Source organism: Homo sapiens, chromosome 2 (assembly GCF_000001405.40).
Source record: "Homo sapiens chromosome 2, GRCh38.p14 Primary Assembly".
In the NCBI taxonomy this organism is placed as follows: domain Eukaryota; kingdom Metazoa; phylum Chordata; class Mammalia; order Primates; family Hominidae; genus Homo; species Homo sapiens.
In genome coordinates, this window is record NC_000002.12 from 235,966,785 (window position 1) to 235,981,836 (window position 15,052).

Here is a 15,052-nt window from a genome sequence, read left to right on the forward strand (position 1 = left end):
TGCATGCAATGAAGGGTGACGCTTCCGACTGTGCAGAGAGGGGCGAGGGGTCTCTGCCTTAGGGCGGCCAGGAACGTACATCAGGGTGTTCTTGGGACCGTATGTATTTCTCAGATACCTTAAATTGTGTGTTTGTACATTTCTCAACATATGATAAAATTTCCTAGAACTTCACAAAATAAAAATATTTTCAATTCATTTTGATTTCCATTATCTTTGTATTTGAAATCATGTCACTGTTCTGCTCAGAACCCTGCATGGCTCCCCATTCCCCCCAAAGCACAGGCGAGGGTCCTCACGGTGGCCCGCAAGCCCCCTCCTCTCCAGTGCCACCTTCCGCAGGCCTCTCCCACCCACACCGGCCACCGCCACTCGGGCCCCCTCTCCGTTTCTGGAACACACCAGGCTCCCTCCTTGGAGCCAGGCTCTGACTGTTTCTCTGCTCTCATTACCTTCTCACTCCTCTGCCATTTTCAAGTCTTGATTCAGTGTCCCGTGCTCAGCGAGACCTACCCCAGCTACCCTATTTTAAATGACACCCCCCATCACTGCCGCCTCTCCCCAGCCTCCCAGCCTTGATGCCCCGCGTTCCTATTCGGTCTTTCCCATAACTCTTACCAGCTTCTGATGGACTCCAGGTTCTGGCCCGGCTGCCATGTCACTGCCACTCCACTTTACAGAGTCCCCATTGGGGCAGGAATGTTTATCTGTTTCTCCTCGATCAATGATGGCTGCCAAGCATCTTGAAAAGCCGCTGGCTCACAGTCAGTGCTCAAAAAATACCAGCTGAATGAGTGCGGTGTGCTGTACAGAACTCTGACTTTGGACTTAAAGATGCTGAATCGTGAAATAAAAACTTTTCAAGACGCCGTAGGCATGCACCACCTGTTTTTCCTGCACGTTTTCAGTGGGCTTTTTTCCACCCGGCTTGAATTATATGCGCGTTCTGGTCATGTAGTACCGCTTTGGCCTTCTCTTTGATAAAGATACAAATGGACATAATACATTGAGAGTTTCACTTATAGTGAATAATCACGTGTGCACTGGTTTTGAAACTGTTCTAAGTAGCTTCAATGAATCAAAAATTGGCAGGCCTACTATATCGACTTCCAAACACTGTCACTGGACATTGGTGAGAGAGAGAAAAAAATGGCATAGAATTTTTCACTGATAATAAAACAAGATGAAGTTATAGTCATCTGTAATATTGAGGCCGGAAGAAAGGATCAGGAATCCCTTATCCTGTGCACCCACAGGAGTCAAACCCACTTAAGATGATATTTCCAAATGTATTCTTAAATGCATCGTTTTCATTTCTAATATATCAAGGTAATTTTAAGAAGAGAAAGATAACTAAAAAGCATAAACTCACCCCTTTCCTTTTGCAGAGCTCCAGTCATGCAGAGGAGAGAAGGAGAATGCATCCATAGCATGCTGCTGATAGAAAAAGAAATGCTTGTGTTTTAATAGCGGGAGGCACAGTAGAGCAAGGGGGACTGAGCCCATCTCATACCAGAGGCTCTAGGCCTCCAACTCAGCAATACAGTAATGGGATGTTATTTGCAGGGCCTGTGTGGTATGAGAGGAGCGTGGCTGTGCTGTTTCTGCGCATTCTGCTTTGTAAGTGCTCACTCTGCATTTTTTTTTTTTTTTTTGCCTTTTCCGGTCCAATGGCAGACACAGGGCTGGGTGACTCCGTATGCTCCAGCCCCAGTATCTCCAGCACCACCAGCCCCAAGCTCGACCCGCCCCCCTCCCCTCACGCCAACAGAAAGAAGCACCGAAGGAAGAAAAGCACTAGCAACTTCAAAGCCGACGGCCTGTCCGGCACTGCTGAAGGTAAGGGTTCCGCGGTGCCCCGGGAGAGAGTCTCCACTGCGGAAAATTCTCTGTTATTTTTCAAATGCGTGAAATTAGACACCCTTAGCACAACAAATGCACAGTAATGCTGGTCACCGTATGTGCTTTCTGTTTGCAAGGTGGCACGAGAGGGCCCTTGGGACCTTTTCATCACTGTCTGATTCTCATATTACGCAACCAAATCTGCTGTCATCACTCTTGGCCGCCGTCGCTGGTAGCGGGTAGGAGTGCTGGTCTCCCAGCCACCAGCCTGATCCAGTTCTGAGGTCTCGCCCCACCCTGGCAGCCTGGGCGAGTGTCCTCTCCAGCCAAGGTGGGCCATGCTGCGTGACTCTGCTGGGGACAGTGCCCACTTCTAGTTTAGGAATCATCTCTGATATTGGTTACTCTTAACTAACCAGACACCTGCCTTGATTTCAGCTTTTAGCAACGTGTTATGATAAACACTTCTTCTGTTAATGTCCATCAGCTCTTTCTGGTATGTGGGCTCTATTAATATTCCAGTTGTCACAGCTCATTGTGAGTCTCCTTTCACCTGAGTGCTTCCTTAGTTTTTATTGCCACTGATGGCTGGATGTCAGCTTCCTGAAGTGGCTCCTTCAAATGAATTCCCTTTTTTTTTTTAATTCATAGATGCAAGTAGAGATAGGTAAGCGCATGCGTACACACACACATACACACACACCCCCCACATTATGAGAGGTAAAATTAATGCAGTTGTAACAAAGGAATACTTAAAAGGAAAAATTAAAGTTTGAGAACCTTGTTGTTAGAACATGAATTATTACCTGTGAGACCGACAATGGTGAGAGAGTGTGGTTACCTGTGAGACCGACATGGTAAAAGCGTGTCTTCAGTGAGGGTCTCATGCCCAGGGGCAACATTTATGGCTTCCATCCTTTCTCTTTCTCTATGGCTGCCATGCTTTTTCCAGATACTCTACTTGATCGAGGGTTCAAACCTGCGAGCTGTCAGACAGTGGCTACATTAGAGGGAGTGGCCCATCCCGTCCACATATCCAGAGCGGAGCACGCAAACCCACGGTGCGTGTGTTAGCAGGGAAGGGGCAGAGTGTGGGGTGTGCTGTGTGTTTCCATAACACCGGAGGCAGGGAGCATCATTTCTTTCATCATCAGGAAGCTGAAGTTCGGAGCTCTGAGTAGCCCGCCAGCCTCCGCAGAAGGGTTAGAAGCCTTTCTCCTTCACCACGTTTCTTCCTGTTTTGCCTCCTGTAAGCTTCCTGCTAACATATTTAGCCAATAAAAACTGATTTTTCGTCGGGCACGGTGGCTCACGCCTGTAATCCCAGCACTTTGGGAGGCCAAGGCAGGAAGATCACCTGACGTCAGGAGTTTGAGACCAGCCTGGCCAACATGATGAAACTCTGTCTCTACTAAAAATACAAAAATTAGCTGGATGTGGTGGCACATGCCTGTAATCCCAGCTACCTGAGAGGCTGAGGCAGGAGCATTGATTGAACCCAGGAGGTGGAGGTTGCAGTGAACCGAGACCATGCCACTGCACTCCAGCCTGGGCGGGCGACAGAGTGAGACTCTGTCTTTAAAAAAAAAAAAAAAAAAAAAAGACGATTTTTCTCATGTTGTGGGGAGTGAGGATAATCCCATTAAGTCAGCGATGGTGGAAAATAATGGTTATGGGTCAGAGCAGCCACAGATGCCACTGACCTTCCCACTGAAAACAGTATCAGCCGCAGGCGCTCTGTGTTGGTAAGACTCCTTCAGACAACCGTTGGGCAAAAATCACCCTGCCAAGCACGTGCAGCCACCCCTCCCTGATTGGGAAGAAGGTTAGCCTCCCCCAGGGTGGGCAGCCTGTACCCTCCACGCCCCTAAGGTGCACACACAGGGGCGGGCGCCAGATTCCCTTTAAGGACAGGCCTTGTTCTCACTTTCACAGGCACGCGTCTTCTTGCATTTGTTGTGTGTTTCCAACCGAGGTCTGTGGTTTTTTCTTATGCACAACCTGGTGGGAACTGACCGTTGCCACTTAGATACACGTTCATTATCCCACCCACGTGTTGACCGCTGTGTAAATGAGTGAATAAATCAGTAGCGTTTCTGCACATTTGATGGAGCAGCTGGCACCACCCAGTGTTCCATTCAGCACCGGTGAGTTTGAAGGAAGTTTGACAAGTGACCGTGACCACGTTGGACGCCTGATGTTTCAGGTCCACTTGCTGAGTGAGTGGGATGGTATGTGTGTGCGAGGCAATAGTGGATACCCAGGCTGAGACACGGGCTCTGTCCAAGCAGCAAATGGGGGCCCCTTTCCTTAAAGGGTCTTACTGCTGAGGTGGTAACACCAGCAGAAAGATTTCAGGCACCATGGAAACTCCAATATTAGGAAATCACAGGTGTCTCAAACATGGATGTGTAAGCGGGTGACGTGTGTTTGGAAGTCCAAGGCAGAGGTTCCAAGGGAGCCACCTCACTCTCTAATTAGGAGAGTCTGGTCTCTACGTCAGCGGCTATGACATCTTTCCAATAGCAAATAAGTCATAAGTTATTTATAAAAAGAAAATGTATCATTTTTCCCTAGGAAAAGTTACTTATCAGACTACAAATGAGTCACTTTTGTGAAAAAGTCTATATTTCATTTTTTCAAAGCCACATTTTCCCCCCAAATTGTAACATATCTGAAGTCAGAACATATCATTGTAGATTCAGTGATATATGATATTTTTGATAGTTTTATTTACTGTTAATTCCTTGAAAGTACATTGTGTAAAACACCCAAATTAAACATTCTGTTCTGGCCGGGCACAGTGGCTCACGCCTGTTATCCCAGCACTTTGGGAGGCTGAGGCGGGCGGATCACGAGGTCAGGAGATCGAGACCATCCTGGCTAACACAATGAAACCCCGTCTCTACTAAAAATACAAAAATTAGCTGGGCATGGTGGCAGGTCCCAGCTACTTGGGAGGCTGAGGCAGGAGAATGGCGTGAACCCAGGAGGTGGAGCTTGCAGTGAGCCGGGATGGCGCCACTGCGCTCCAGCCTGGGCGACAGAGTGAGACTCCGTCTCAAAAAAAAAAAAAATCTGTTCTTGAAACTAAAGCTAGTTATATATGTTTTATTTTATTTATTTATTTATTTATTTATTTATTTATTTATTTATTTATTGTATTTTTTGAGACAGGTCCTCGCTCTGTCACCCAGGCTGGGGTGTAGTGGTGCAGTCACGGCTCACTGCAGCCTCGAACTCCCAGGTTCAAGTGATCTTCCCACCTCAGCCTCCCAAGTAGCTGGGACCACAGGCAGGCACCACGACACCTGGCTAATTTTTTGTATTTTTGTAGAAATGGAGTTTCACTCTTTTGCCCAGGCTGGTCTTGAACTCCTGGGCTCAAGCAATCCTCCCACCTCAGCCTCCCAGTGCTGGGACTACAGGCGTGAGCCACCACACCCGGCCTATATTTTATGTTTTGAGAATACTATTCTATTATAAAAAACCATTTCTGCCTCTCTTTCCTGCAAGGCTCTGTGACTGGTTACTACTAGTGTATTCTCTATCGCCTGACCAAGTGCTGAAAAGATGGAATTACAGATATAAAACTTCTATAGAAGATTTGTGTAAAGTAGTTGAATTTTATGGTTTTTAATATACCCTATTGGAACAAATAACTAGGTTCAAATCTCTTTAGAGTATAAGAAAAATAGAATTCCATTGAAGTAAGCAAATTTATCAGGGTCCTTTGAATCCATTGGTCAGTAGAATCCATTAAACTCAGCTGATGAATCTGGAATGGGATGGGGCTCCCCGGCTGGTTCGCCGAGGAGTCTTCCTGGGCCTGTCTGCAGAGATGCGGGGAGAAAGTGGGTTTGGTGTAGAACCCGGGGTGTAACGGGGTGAGGAGAGGGCAACTATTTGGGAAAGCTTCCAGCTAGGAGCTGTGGCCTTCAAGAAAGAGACCTGTCCGGCTGTGGTGACCGGGAAGGTGAGGGTGTCCTCACTCTTCTCCCTCCCACTGGTCTCCAGTGGCCCCTCCTTGGCCAAATCCAACCAGAGGCCAAAAGCCCTGAGAGCCCACGATGCCAGTCACACAGTTGGCTCCCAGGACCAAGACAAAACCAACAGAAGCCGTAGAGTGTTCGTGCCTTTCACAGCACCTCCTACAAGCCCCTGAAGCCCGTGCCATGCCACTCTGTTGGTGGTCCACAAACACAGGAAACGAAGCTCTAGAGGGCAGGGGTATGTGCTCCCCTCCATCATCCCCCAGGGTCTGGCTTTAGCCTGGCCCAGGGAGCCCTCGCGGCTTCCTGAACAGACCTCAGTGCCCTTCCCCAGCTGTGTGCGACAAGGACCCTGCGAGAAGGTCTTCCTAGACTCCCAGCTAAGCACAGAGGTTCTCACTCTGGCCGTTTCTTACCTCTGTGGCGCACTTATTCAGAAAGTAAAGGCTAATAGTAGGAATCATCAGTACCTGCTGCTGCAAACCCAGAAACACTGTGTCTACACGGGGCTGTCAGGGTGACCGATGGAAATTGGGCCGTTCCTGCCCTGGAGTTTCTCCCTGCGCAGGTGCTCGCTGTGCTCTTTTTGCTGAAGAACAGCCACTTTGTTCTGCACCAGATGGCAGAGGGTGTCAGACCCCAGCCCAGGGAGAGCATTTATTTTCTTAGGTTTACCATTTAAAATGAATCGGAGGAATCTGGAAAGTTACAGAAGCAGGGACGGTGACTGGAGAATCCCTTATCTTTTTGTGTATATTTTGGGTTCTGAGGATTACCAGGAGATGTGTGGATGACAGAGCCCGTCGCTAGGCTCTTATGTCACAGATGGGCTGCTGTGCTGCGTGGTCATTGAGACCAATGGAAGGAAATTGAGATGTGACTGGGCAGGATGGTGACAGGGCCTGAAGCCTATGCATGGAGGGAACGTGCAGTGACCAGAGAGAAGGGTGGTGATGAGGATGAGGGCCATGAGGCATGGTGACTGTGACCAGCTGATGGAAGGTTTGCAAAGAAGGGCGTCCCAACTTGTCCTGGATGGCCCAGGTGGTAACCATGGGACCTGATGGGTGGAAGCCTCAAGGAGGTGGATTTTGATTCTGATATTAAAAGCTCTAGAAAAAGCTCTACGAACCAGGGCCACCTGAGAGGGAGTGACCCCGACCCTGCATGGGGTCGGCATGGGTTGGACCAGGGCAGAGGAACCTGGGCTCTAGAAGGTGATTGCACCACGGCCCTGGATTCCCAACCAGGTCCAAGTTCAAGGGTATGTGCCAGGGAAAAGCGCCTGGGCAGTGGGATTTTGCAGATCTTTAATGGCTTGTCAGCTCTTGGCATTGTCTTTGAATTACAGTACTTTCTGGGCATCTTCATATCTCGGGTCCAGTAGTGAGGTTGTCATTGCTAAAATGAACGGTCTCTGCAGTCCCATTCTGTGGCCCCGAACCTGGTGGTTCTCGTTAGTTTTATAACATTCATGCAAGTTTGCATTAAGTGCTAATTTCCCTGTTTCCCCAGTGAAAAGGCTGAAGTAGAGAGAGGTTAAGTGGCTTTCTTGTCCAGGGTCAGGTTGCTGGTAGGTGACAGAACTGTCTCTTGATTCTCTGCCTCAAACTCTTTCCACCAGGCAAAAAGCAAGTCTTTGAGGTATGTGGAGCTGCTTTTGAATCTGGGAGTGGGGCACACTGAATAGCTTCCTTGATATTTCTCAGATTCCATGTAAAGACACTGACTTTTATATGGCTCATAACATCTAGAAGTTGTGTAGCAAAGATCTTTCTTTAAAAATGCAGGACCAGACTGGATTTACCCAATCTTATTATACAAGAGGGTATGCAGAAATCCTGGTGTTATCCCCCCCTTGGGTTCACAGCGCTTTGTTCTGAAGGTCTCAGAAGGGAATTTATTTTATCCTTCTCATCTTGTTCCTTTGGTTGTTCATTCTGGTCTTTATCGCACCATTGTGTGGTTGATCCTGGATGGATATTGAAAGATTCTCCTGTAGAGGGTAAGTCACAAACGGGCCTCTCACTGTTATGGTAGAAAATGAATTGCTCATCACAGCTGCACTCACTGAGCAATGAAATGTTGACAAATTTCATTAACTCCAGAGTTGCAGAGGTCACCCAGGACTTAGTTTCCCTTCACTCTTTCAAAGGAGAACCTGAAATTGTAGATCATTTTATTCTTTCATCAAATATGAAGCAACCACCACAGGGAAAGCACTGTGTGCTTGCCTCCATGGGAGACGTTGAGAAATAAAACTCGGTTCCTCTCTCTCTCCAAGGAGTTTAGAGCCTGATTATGGAGATAAGACATGCAAGAAACTGTAACGAGGATGTCAGGCAGAATATTCGAGAAAGGCATGGGAATTCAGAAGAAGCACAAATACACACTGAGTTGTAAAAGTTAGGGAAGGCTAACCTGTTGTAGAGCTTAATTTTTATTGTGCAGATTTAGCACATAATGGTTATCTTATTTAATAAAACTGCAGAAATCATTACTTTTTCATTAAATGTTGCCTACTTACAACTTTAAACACCAGTGGTGGTGATTTAATTAGTCACAAAATGGAGTTTTGTTTTTACTTAGATGCTAAGAAACAGATGTTGCTATTGATCAGTTACCTTTTACCTGAGGACTTTTTTTTATTATTATTAATTAGTTGATGTCTTGGAAGGCACTTTGGAGAGAAATTAAAGAATCGTGCATGCATATCGTACAGTGTTGTTTTTTTTCTTGCAGGAAAGCAATACGTGGGTGCGTGGAAGCTCTCAGTTAATCTGTAACCATCCGGTTAGATGGACTATCATGCAGCTTGAGCCATTGCTGGGTAGTTTGGGGATTTTGCATGCCGTGATTGGGAGGGCAGTGTGCTTGTTTTGTTATTTAGAATATAACAAGGTTGTAAGAGTCTTATTAGCACAAGGCTCTCATCTTTTCTCACTCCTGGGGTGCAATTAGTGTGCACATGACGGTGAGCACATGACTGGCAAGGAGTCAGGGCCCAGAAACTGTTACCTTCCAGGTTTATATCCAGTCTACAGGGGCTTTCACATTGAATTCTGTGTTATTTGGAGGTGGCTGGAGGGGAGATCCAGTTGCACAAGTGTTACTGTCATTCTTCCCTCAGGTTTTCTCCTTTTCTTCTCCATGAACATTCCACCGGCACCTCCCGTGTCTGCTCCTTGTTTAACATTGGCAGCTACCCAGGAAAGGGAACGAGAAGTCTCCACAATCAGCTCCCTAAAAACTGCATAATCAACAGTAATTTTTGATACAATAAGGACTTATTAATTAAACTTCCTTATTAGCAAACCACTGGTTAGTGCATCTGAACAGTTGAGTTGAACAGTTCATTATAGCAAATGTGGAAAACCAAGAATGAGAACATCTTCCTGGGAGATACACTGGAAATGCAGTAGCGAATGTGGAAAACCAAGAATCAGAACATCTTCCTGGGAGATACGCTGGAAATGCAGTCACTTCACTCTGCTAAGGATATCAGGAGACTGGCTGGGTTTCATCACCCTTGGGCTGTCAGTGATGGGAGCCACCATGCATCCCGACGGACTTGCCTCCTCCCCACAAACTAGATGACTTTTCCAAAGACAGTTTGCTCTCAGGTTGTAACTCCAGCTTCCAAGAGAATGAACTTGCTGAAATTGAGTAGATCATCTGGGTTTACTCTAGACATTGACATTGTAGATTGGGCACAGTTGACTCAAAAGCCATCCTGCAGGGTACAGTCCGGCCGCCACAAACACACACAAGCAGTAAGCGCTCTCAGATCCTTTGTGGAAGCCAGCAGGTCGGAAATAAACAAAGATGAGTCGATCACAGCAGGGGCAGCCAGAACGGAAGATTCCCATCGTGATGAACCGACGCACAGAAGGATGTTTGTAGTGTGGTTTTTGTTTGTTTGTTTGTTTTAATTTTTTTAACCACACACAAACTTAAAGGGGTTAGATTCAGGTCCAAAAATGTTCATTGAGCACCTACTGCACGCAAGAGTTTTGTCTGATGCTGGATGGGACATCAACTGAAGCGGCCCAGCCATCAGGACACACATAGACCAGTGGAGAAAGCAGAAACACGCCGGGGAACTTGGTTATGCAGGAGCACAGGGCACCCCCAGCTGCCTGGAGGACCTCAGGGAGGTTCCCCAAAGGGGAGTAGACACTCACACACGTTGTATAGACAACGAAATATCTGCTATTCCAAGGAGGAAAAAAGGAAAAAATCTGAAAAGTCAAAACAAACTAAATCTTGTAAAGAGGTGGCTTGGAGCTCCTGGGGGTACCTAGGCAACTCCTGACGCCACAGACAAGCATTTGAGCTCCTTAGCCTGCTACACAGAAGCATAAACTCACCTTTGAAAAATGCTGACTACTCACAAGGTCCCTTTCTAAGATACAGAAATGTGACGGACCTCAACTCCTTTTTTTTAGCTAGACTTAGAGATTCTCTTCTGCGAGTGGGGCTCGGTTAGCACAAGCTGCTCACAGGCTCCGGCGTCCATCAGCAGAGAACTCGGGGCACCGTGTTTTCCTGTGTGCACCCTGGGATTGGAATTCGGGCTAGCTTGGGAGACCCTGCATTGGTCGACTTTCATTAGAATCTAGGATCTGTCTTGAAGTCATTTTCTTGATGGTCTCAAAATGTTTGAGCTCTGAGGCTTTTCGGATGTCATTTAAGTCTCGGTGAAATTATGGTCCACTTGGACCAAGGTCCTGAAGCCAGAAGAGGGGCTGGTTCTAGCGGCCAGTGCTGTTCAACTTGTGTCTTCCTTACTATTCTAAATCCTCATCTACTCTTTCTACTTTCCTCAGCTGCATGTATTTTACACACAAAGTACAGGGATACAGATTGAAATGTTCAGCAGCAAGGTATGAGAGGTCCGCATCTCATGCACGAGGGTGTTTTTCTCGGCCTCTGCAGCCCTCAGATGTTCCCACGCTCTGTTAGACACATGCGGCCTGGGCTTCAGGAAGTAGAGATGCCCGGGGGTTATATTTTCAGATGTTCTAGCTGAGCTCGCTTTGTCTTTCCTCCCAGGCCTGGCAATAATGAAACTAGGCAGTGTTTTATCTCACAGGCAGTGGCGACTTCATTCCTCTTTCTAAAGATGTAAAACAAAAGGGGATATTGACTAATGCAAAACTTAGTCTGTGTGGAAGCAACTTGGCAAATGGGGAGGATGAAATAAAATTGCACCTACCGTTTGTCTTAGCTCAGCCTGCCATATCAAAATGCCACAGACTGGGGGCTTAACCAGCAGAAACTCATTTATCATGGTTCTGAAGGCTGCAAAGTCCAAGATCACGGCACCAGCTGATTCTCTTCCTAGGGAGAGCTCTCTTCCTGGCTTGCAGGTGGCCCTTTTCTTGCTGTGTCCTCATGTGGCCCTTCTGTGGTGTGCACACACACACAGAGAGAGAAGCTCTTCTTTTTCTTATAAGAACACCCCTCCCATCATGAAGGCCCAGCCCTCATGGCCTCATCTAACCCTCATCACCTCCCAAAGGCCCAGTCTCCAAATACCAGCACATTGGTGGGGTGAGGAATTAGAGCTACAACATGTGAATTTTGGAGGGAGACAAACATTCAGTCTGTAGGACCATTCTACTTTCTATTCCTGGCTGTGGGATTAATGTCCCTGTGGCCCCCACCCACCCACTCACCCACGCACCATATGCCATTTAAGGATTTCATGGACTGTCTCAGGTCAGAAACTGCTTGGACAGATCACAGCTGTCCTTTCCCCTTCACTCTTCCCTCCCAAGTCTTGGATTTGTTGTCAGGAGACATCATCCAGTGCAAAGGAAGAACACCATGGATTTACTGCCTGCTTGTGCGCTACCTCATTGCATCCTTAAAACAACCCTGTGTGGTGTTGGCAGGTGGGTGGTGGCATTTCTGTTGTCACAAATGAGGAAGAGGGTTGAATAAAGTTGAGTAATTTGCCCAAGGCCAGTAGATGAGTGGCCTCTGGGACTTGGAAGTCTGTATTTTGCTTTGCATTTCATCTGTTAACCTGGAAAAGGCTTCAGGGGGTTGGAGTGGGAGGAGAGCCTTCTGCAGGCCTCTTACTCTCAATCCTGTGGCTCTCAGAGTTGCTTCTCCCTCTGTGCATGTCCATTTCTGCAGCACAGCAGGGCCATGCCCACGGCTCCCCACCACTGCCCTTGAGAACTGGGAAGCAGTCATTCCTTTGCTGGTTTTCTCAGGAGGCCTGTTGTGTTGTGGTATGGCTTCCTTGCAAACAAGTGCATGCACACTCTGATACGTTTTTAAAAAAAAAAGATGCAAATCACTGCTTCAGCTGCTTTGCAGACAGTTAGAACCTACAGGATTAGATGGGCTCTGTTATAAGGGGACATCTCTCTTGAAATTTTTTTGGACTTACGGACATTTAATTCAGATGCAGTGAACCCAGTTTTTCTGTTCATTTTAAGATTGATATGCTTTTTCTTTTTTTGGATGACAGAAGTGTATTTGTGGGGTTTTTTTGTTGTTGTTTTTGTTTTTTTTTTTTTGGGATATGATCTCACTGTGTTGTCCGGGCTAGTCTCAAATCCCTGGTCTCAAGAGATCCTCCCATGTCAGCTTCCTGAGTTGCTGGGATTTACAAGCATGTATCACCACAGCCAGCTAGAGTGCACATTTTTAAGGGCAGTTTGAGGTTGGAGGGAGGAGGGTGGTGATTGATTAAGCCCCCCTGTCGTTCATTTGAATCCTGCATCGCTGATTTAAGTGTTAATCAAATGCCTGTCTCGCCTGGCTGCGGGGTCCGATCATAGTTACTGACTCGCGCTCATTTTATCAAGATGTATTAATGCTTTGGAGAAGGTGTAGTTGAGATAAACTTTGTGTGTTTATTTAGTAATCTTTGCTAATACCCTCCTGGCTTTCCACTCCACCCCTTTCTCATCTCAGACATACCATAGGCACCAAGGTGTGGAGCCAGTGAAAGAACAGGCGCAGCGAACGTTCCGGCAGGCATTGCCGTGCACGGACACACAACTTCACAAGGGCCTCTTGTGCACGTGGGACATGGAGAAAATTGGCCATTTGTCTGTGGGGTAATGGGCTTTGCTGCAATATGAAAATCTATCAAATGGGTAAAATCAATGACATTGTATCAGAGTTCATGAAAAGTGCCTACTGCACACAGTTTAATTCTATTTAATTTTTTTAAGTGGAAAAAAGCAAAGGAAAAATGTTTTAGTTTTCTCTTAAGCTGATTTCGCTCTGCTTTTTCTTAAAAGTGCCTTTCTAGTTGCCACACAGTGATGTGATCATTATCTGCCACCTCGTCGCCTTGCTGCCTCTGCATGCAGTAAAATACAAAAAAAAGAGAGATAGAGAAAGCAGGGGAGCTTGTGAAGTATGACTCCCTATCCCAAGACTCATTGCCTGCGATTCGTACCGCTTGACAGTAATGATCTTATTACAGTACTGTGGACCTTGAAGAGATTTCATGAGGAGAGTGAAAGGACGACCCTCCGTGTAATCAAGTGGCGCTGAATATTCCACGCGTTTTTGATCACACACTGATTGGGCACAGTTTTAGCCCATCTTCTAGTCAATTATGCATGGCCCCTGTGCTCCTCGAATAGTCGGAAACATTGATGGCTGTTGTCTGGGTTTTGGCAGGCAGCCAGGGGTTTGAAGTGCCTTGTACATCGTCATCCCAGGATAAGTGCTTTTTAGTTGGAATTGATTACCTTTCTTTGGGTTTTGCTTAATAGCAAAACTGCATTTGGAGAGGGCTTCAGGTGAAAAATGGACATATTAGCCATTGAGAGCATCCGAACTCCTAGTCAATTTTTAGGCTTCCCTTGTTTCCGTCTAATTTCTGTTTAATGATACAGTGTTTGATAATATTTAAGATATCTCACCGCATTTGCCGCTGAGCACACATGTTGAGCGTCGAGGACAGGTTCAATTATGTGGCCACTGTGTTCAGGTTCCCGGATTGATCCGGGGGAGGCTCTAAGCTTTGAGGAGATCTGGCGGTTAGTTTCCATCTTGGCATAAAAGCATTAATTATCTAAAGATCTTTTCATCTGCAGGAAAATAGGCAGAGAATTCTTCCTACTGTTGAGTGGTCGCTCCGTGTGACCGTGGAGCTCATGTCAGCATTGCTAGGTTTGGGCTCAGCCTGCTACCCTGTGCCCAAAAGACTTTCTCCCATTGTTTCCTCCCTCCCCTCGCTATTGAGCTTGAAGTCTGGGGACATTTGAAAGGATGGGATTGTTTCTTACCAAAATGAGGCATGATGTTGCCTCTTAAGAAAATCAGACAATTAAACCAATGTTACTATGTAGAAGTGAAAACTGGTATAAACCAAGATTTTTTGCCTCCTCCTGTTATGCTCTTAATTCTGATTCTTGTCTTACGGATTGTCTTAGAATGATTAGGAAAACTTCTAAGGTGTTTTATTTTTTTGTTTTAACATTTTGTGCAAGGCTAAGGAATTAGACACCCCAGAGTATGTGATCACTGTGAGATGTTTCTCAAAGTCTGTCTTGAACTTGCCAACACATGCTGCCTCGGGGCCTGTGGTCACTAAGCTTATATGAGGGACGAGAGCCGTAGCATTGCTCCAGCAGGTATTTCAATAACTTGATTTGACTCTTCTTAATTAAATAAATAGGTAGCTTTGTTCTTTGGCTTGATTATTCATTTGGGTCTTTCTTGCTTTCTTCAGGTAGGAATGATTTTCCCCTTCAGTTGGTTTTCTGCAGAAGCCATGATATACTGTAGGCATGGTTACCAGAACACCCCTAAGAGAGCTGACCAGAATTTCTAAGTTCATGTTCCATGCGTACACACACACACACACACACACACGGTGTTATTTTTTTTCTTTCTGAATTTCATGAAAATAAAATATTTTCTACCAGAATACACATTTAGTGATGCCTCTTTCAAAGAGGAAATCAATCACGAAACAGAAACTCAGAGTTGACAATCTATTAGCAATAATATCACTATCAATTATTGACCACTGCCATGTGTCAGGCACTGGGCTTAAGTGCTTTACACGCAGCGTCTCATAACCCTCACAAGAACCTGGGAGGTGGGTGCCGTTATCCGCATTTTTATAACTGAGGAAACCGAGGGTCATAAAGTTTAAGTAACTTGCTCAAGGCCATAGACGTAGAAAGCAGCGATAGGGCCACCGATCCAGGCGAGGGCAGCAGTGCTCGCCG

General features: G+C 46.4%; 1 protein-coding gene and 1 long non-coding RNA gene across 5 annotated transcripts in view, besides 1 other annotated feature; both read left to right on the forward strand.

Annotated features, from left to right (window-relative positions):
- Window positions 1-15,052, forward strand: part of AGAP1 (ArfGAP with GTPase domain, ankyrin repeat and PH domain 1) — a 637,751-nt gene that overhangs the window by 472,742 nt on the left and 149,957 nt on the right. For all 4 annotated transcript variants that reach the window (NM_001037131.3, NM_014914.5, NM_001436125.1 and 1 more), the window contains one exon: window positions 1,678-1,839. In NM_001037131.3, the coding sequence (NP_001032208.1) occupies window positions 1,678-1,839 (162 nt within the window). The remainder of the gene's footprint in view (window positions 1-1,677; window positions 1,840-15,052) is intronic.
- The window catches only part of LOC124907999 (uncharacterized), a 35,153-nt gene continuing 25,360 nt past the window's right edge, over window positions 5,260-15,052 (forward strand). The window contains exon 1 of the long non-coding RNA XR_007088134.1: window positions 5,260-6,878. This is a non-coding gene — a long non-coding RNA (uncharacterized LOC124907999). The remainder of the gene's footprint in view (window positions 6,879-15,052) is intronic.
- Window positions 5,967-6,466: an enhancer, noted in NCBI's record as "H3K4me1 hESC enhancer chr2:236881395-236881894 (GRCh37/hg19 assembly coordinates)". NCBI's record gives its function as "activates a minimal SCP1, AML or CMV promoter by ChIP-STARR-seq in primed H9 embryonic stem cells {active_cell/tissue: H9 hESC(primed)}" and the evidence as "EXISTENCE:reporter gene assay evidence [ECO:0000049][PMID:30033119]".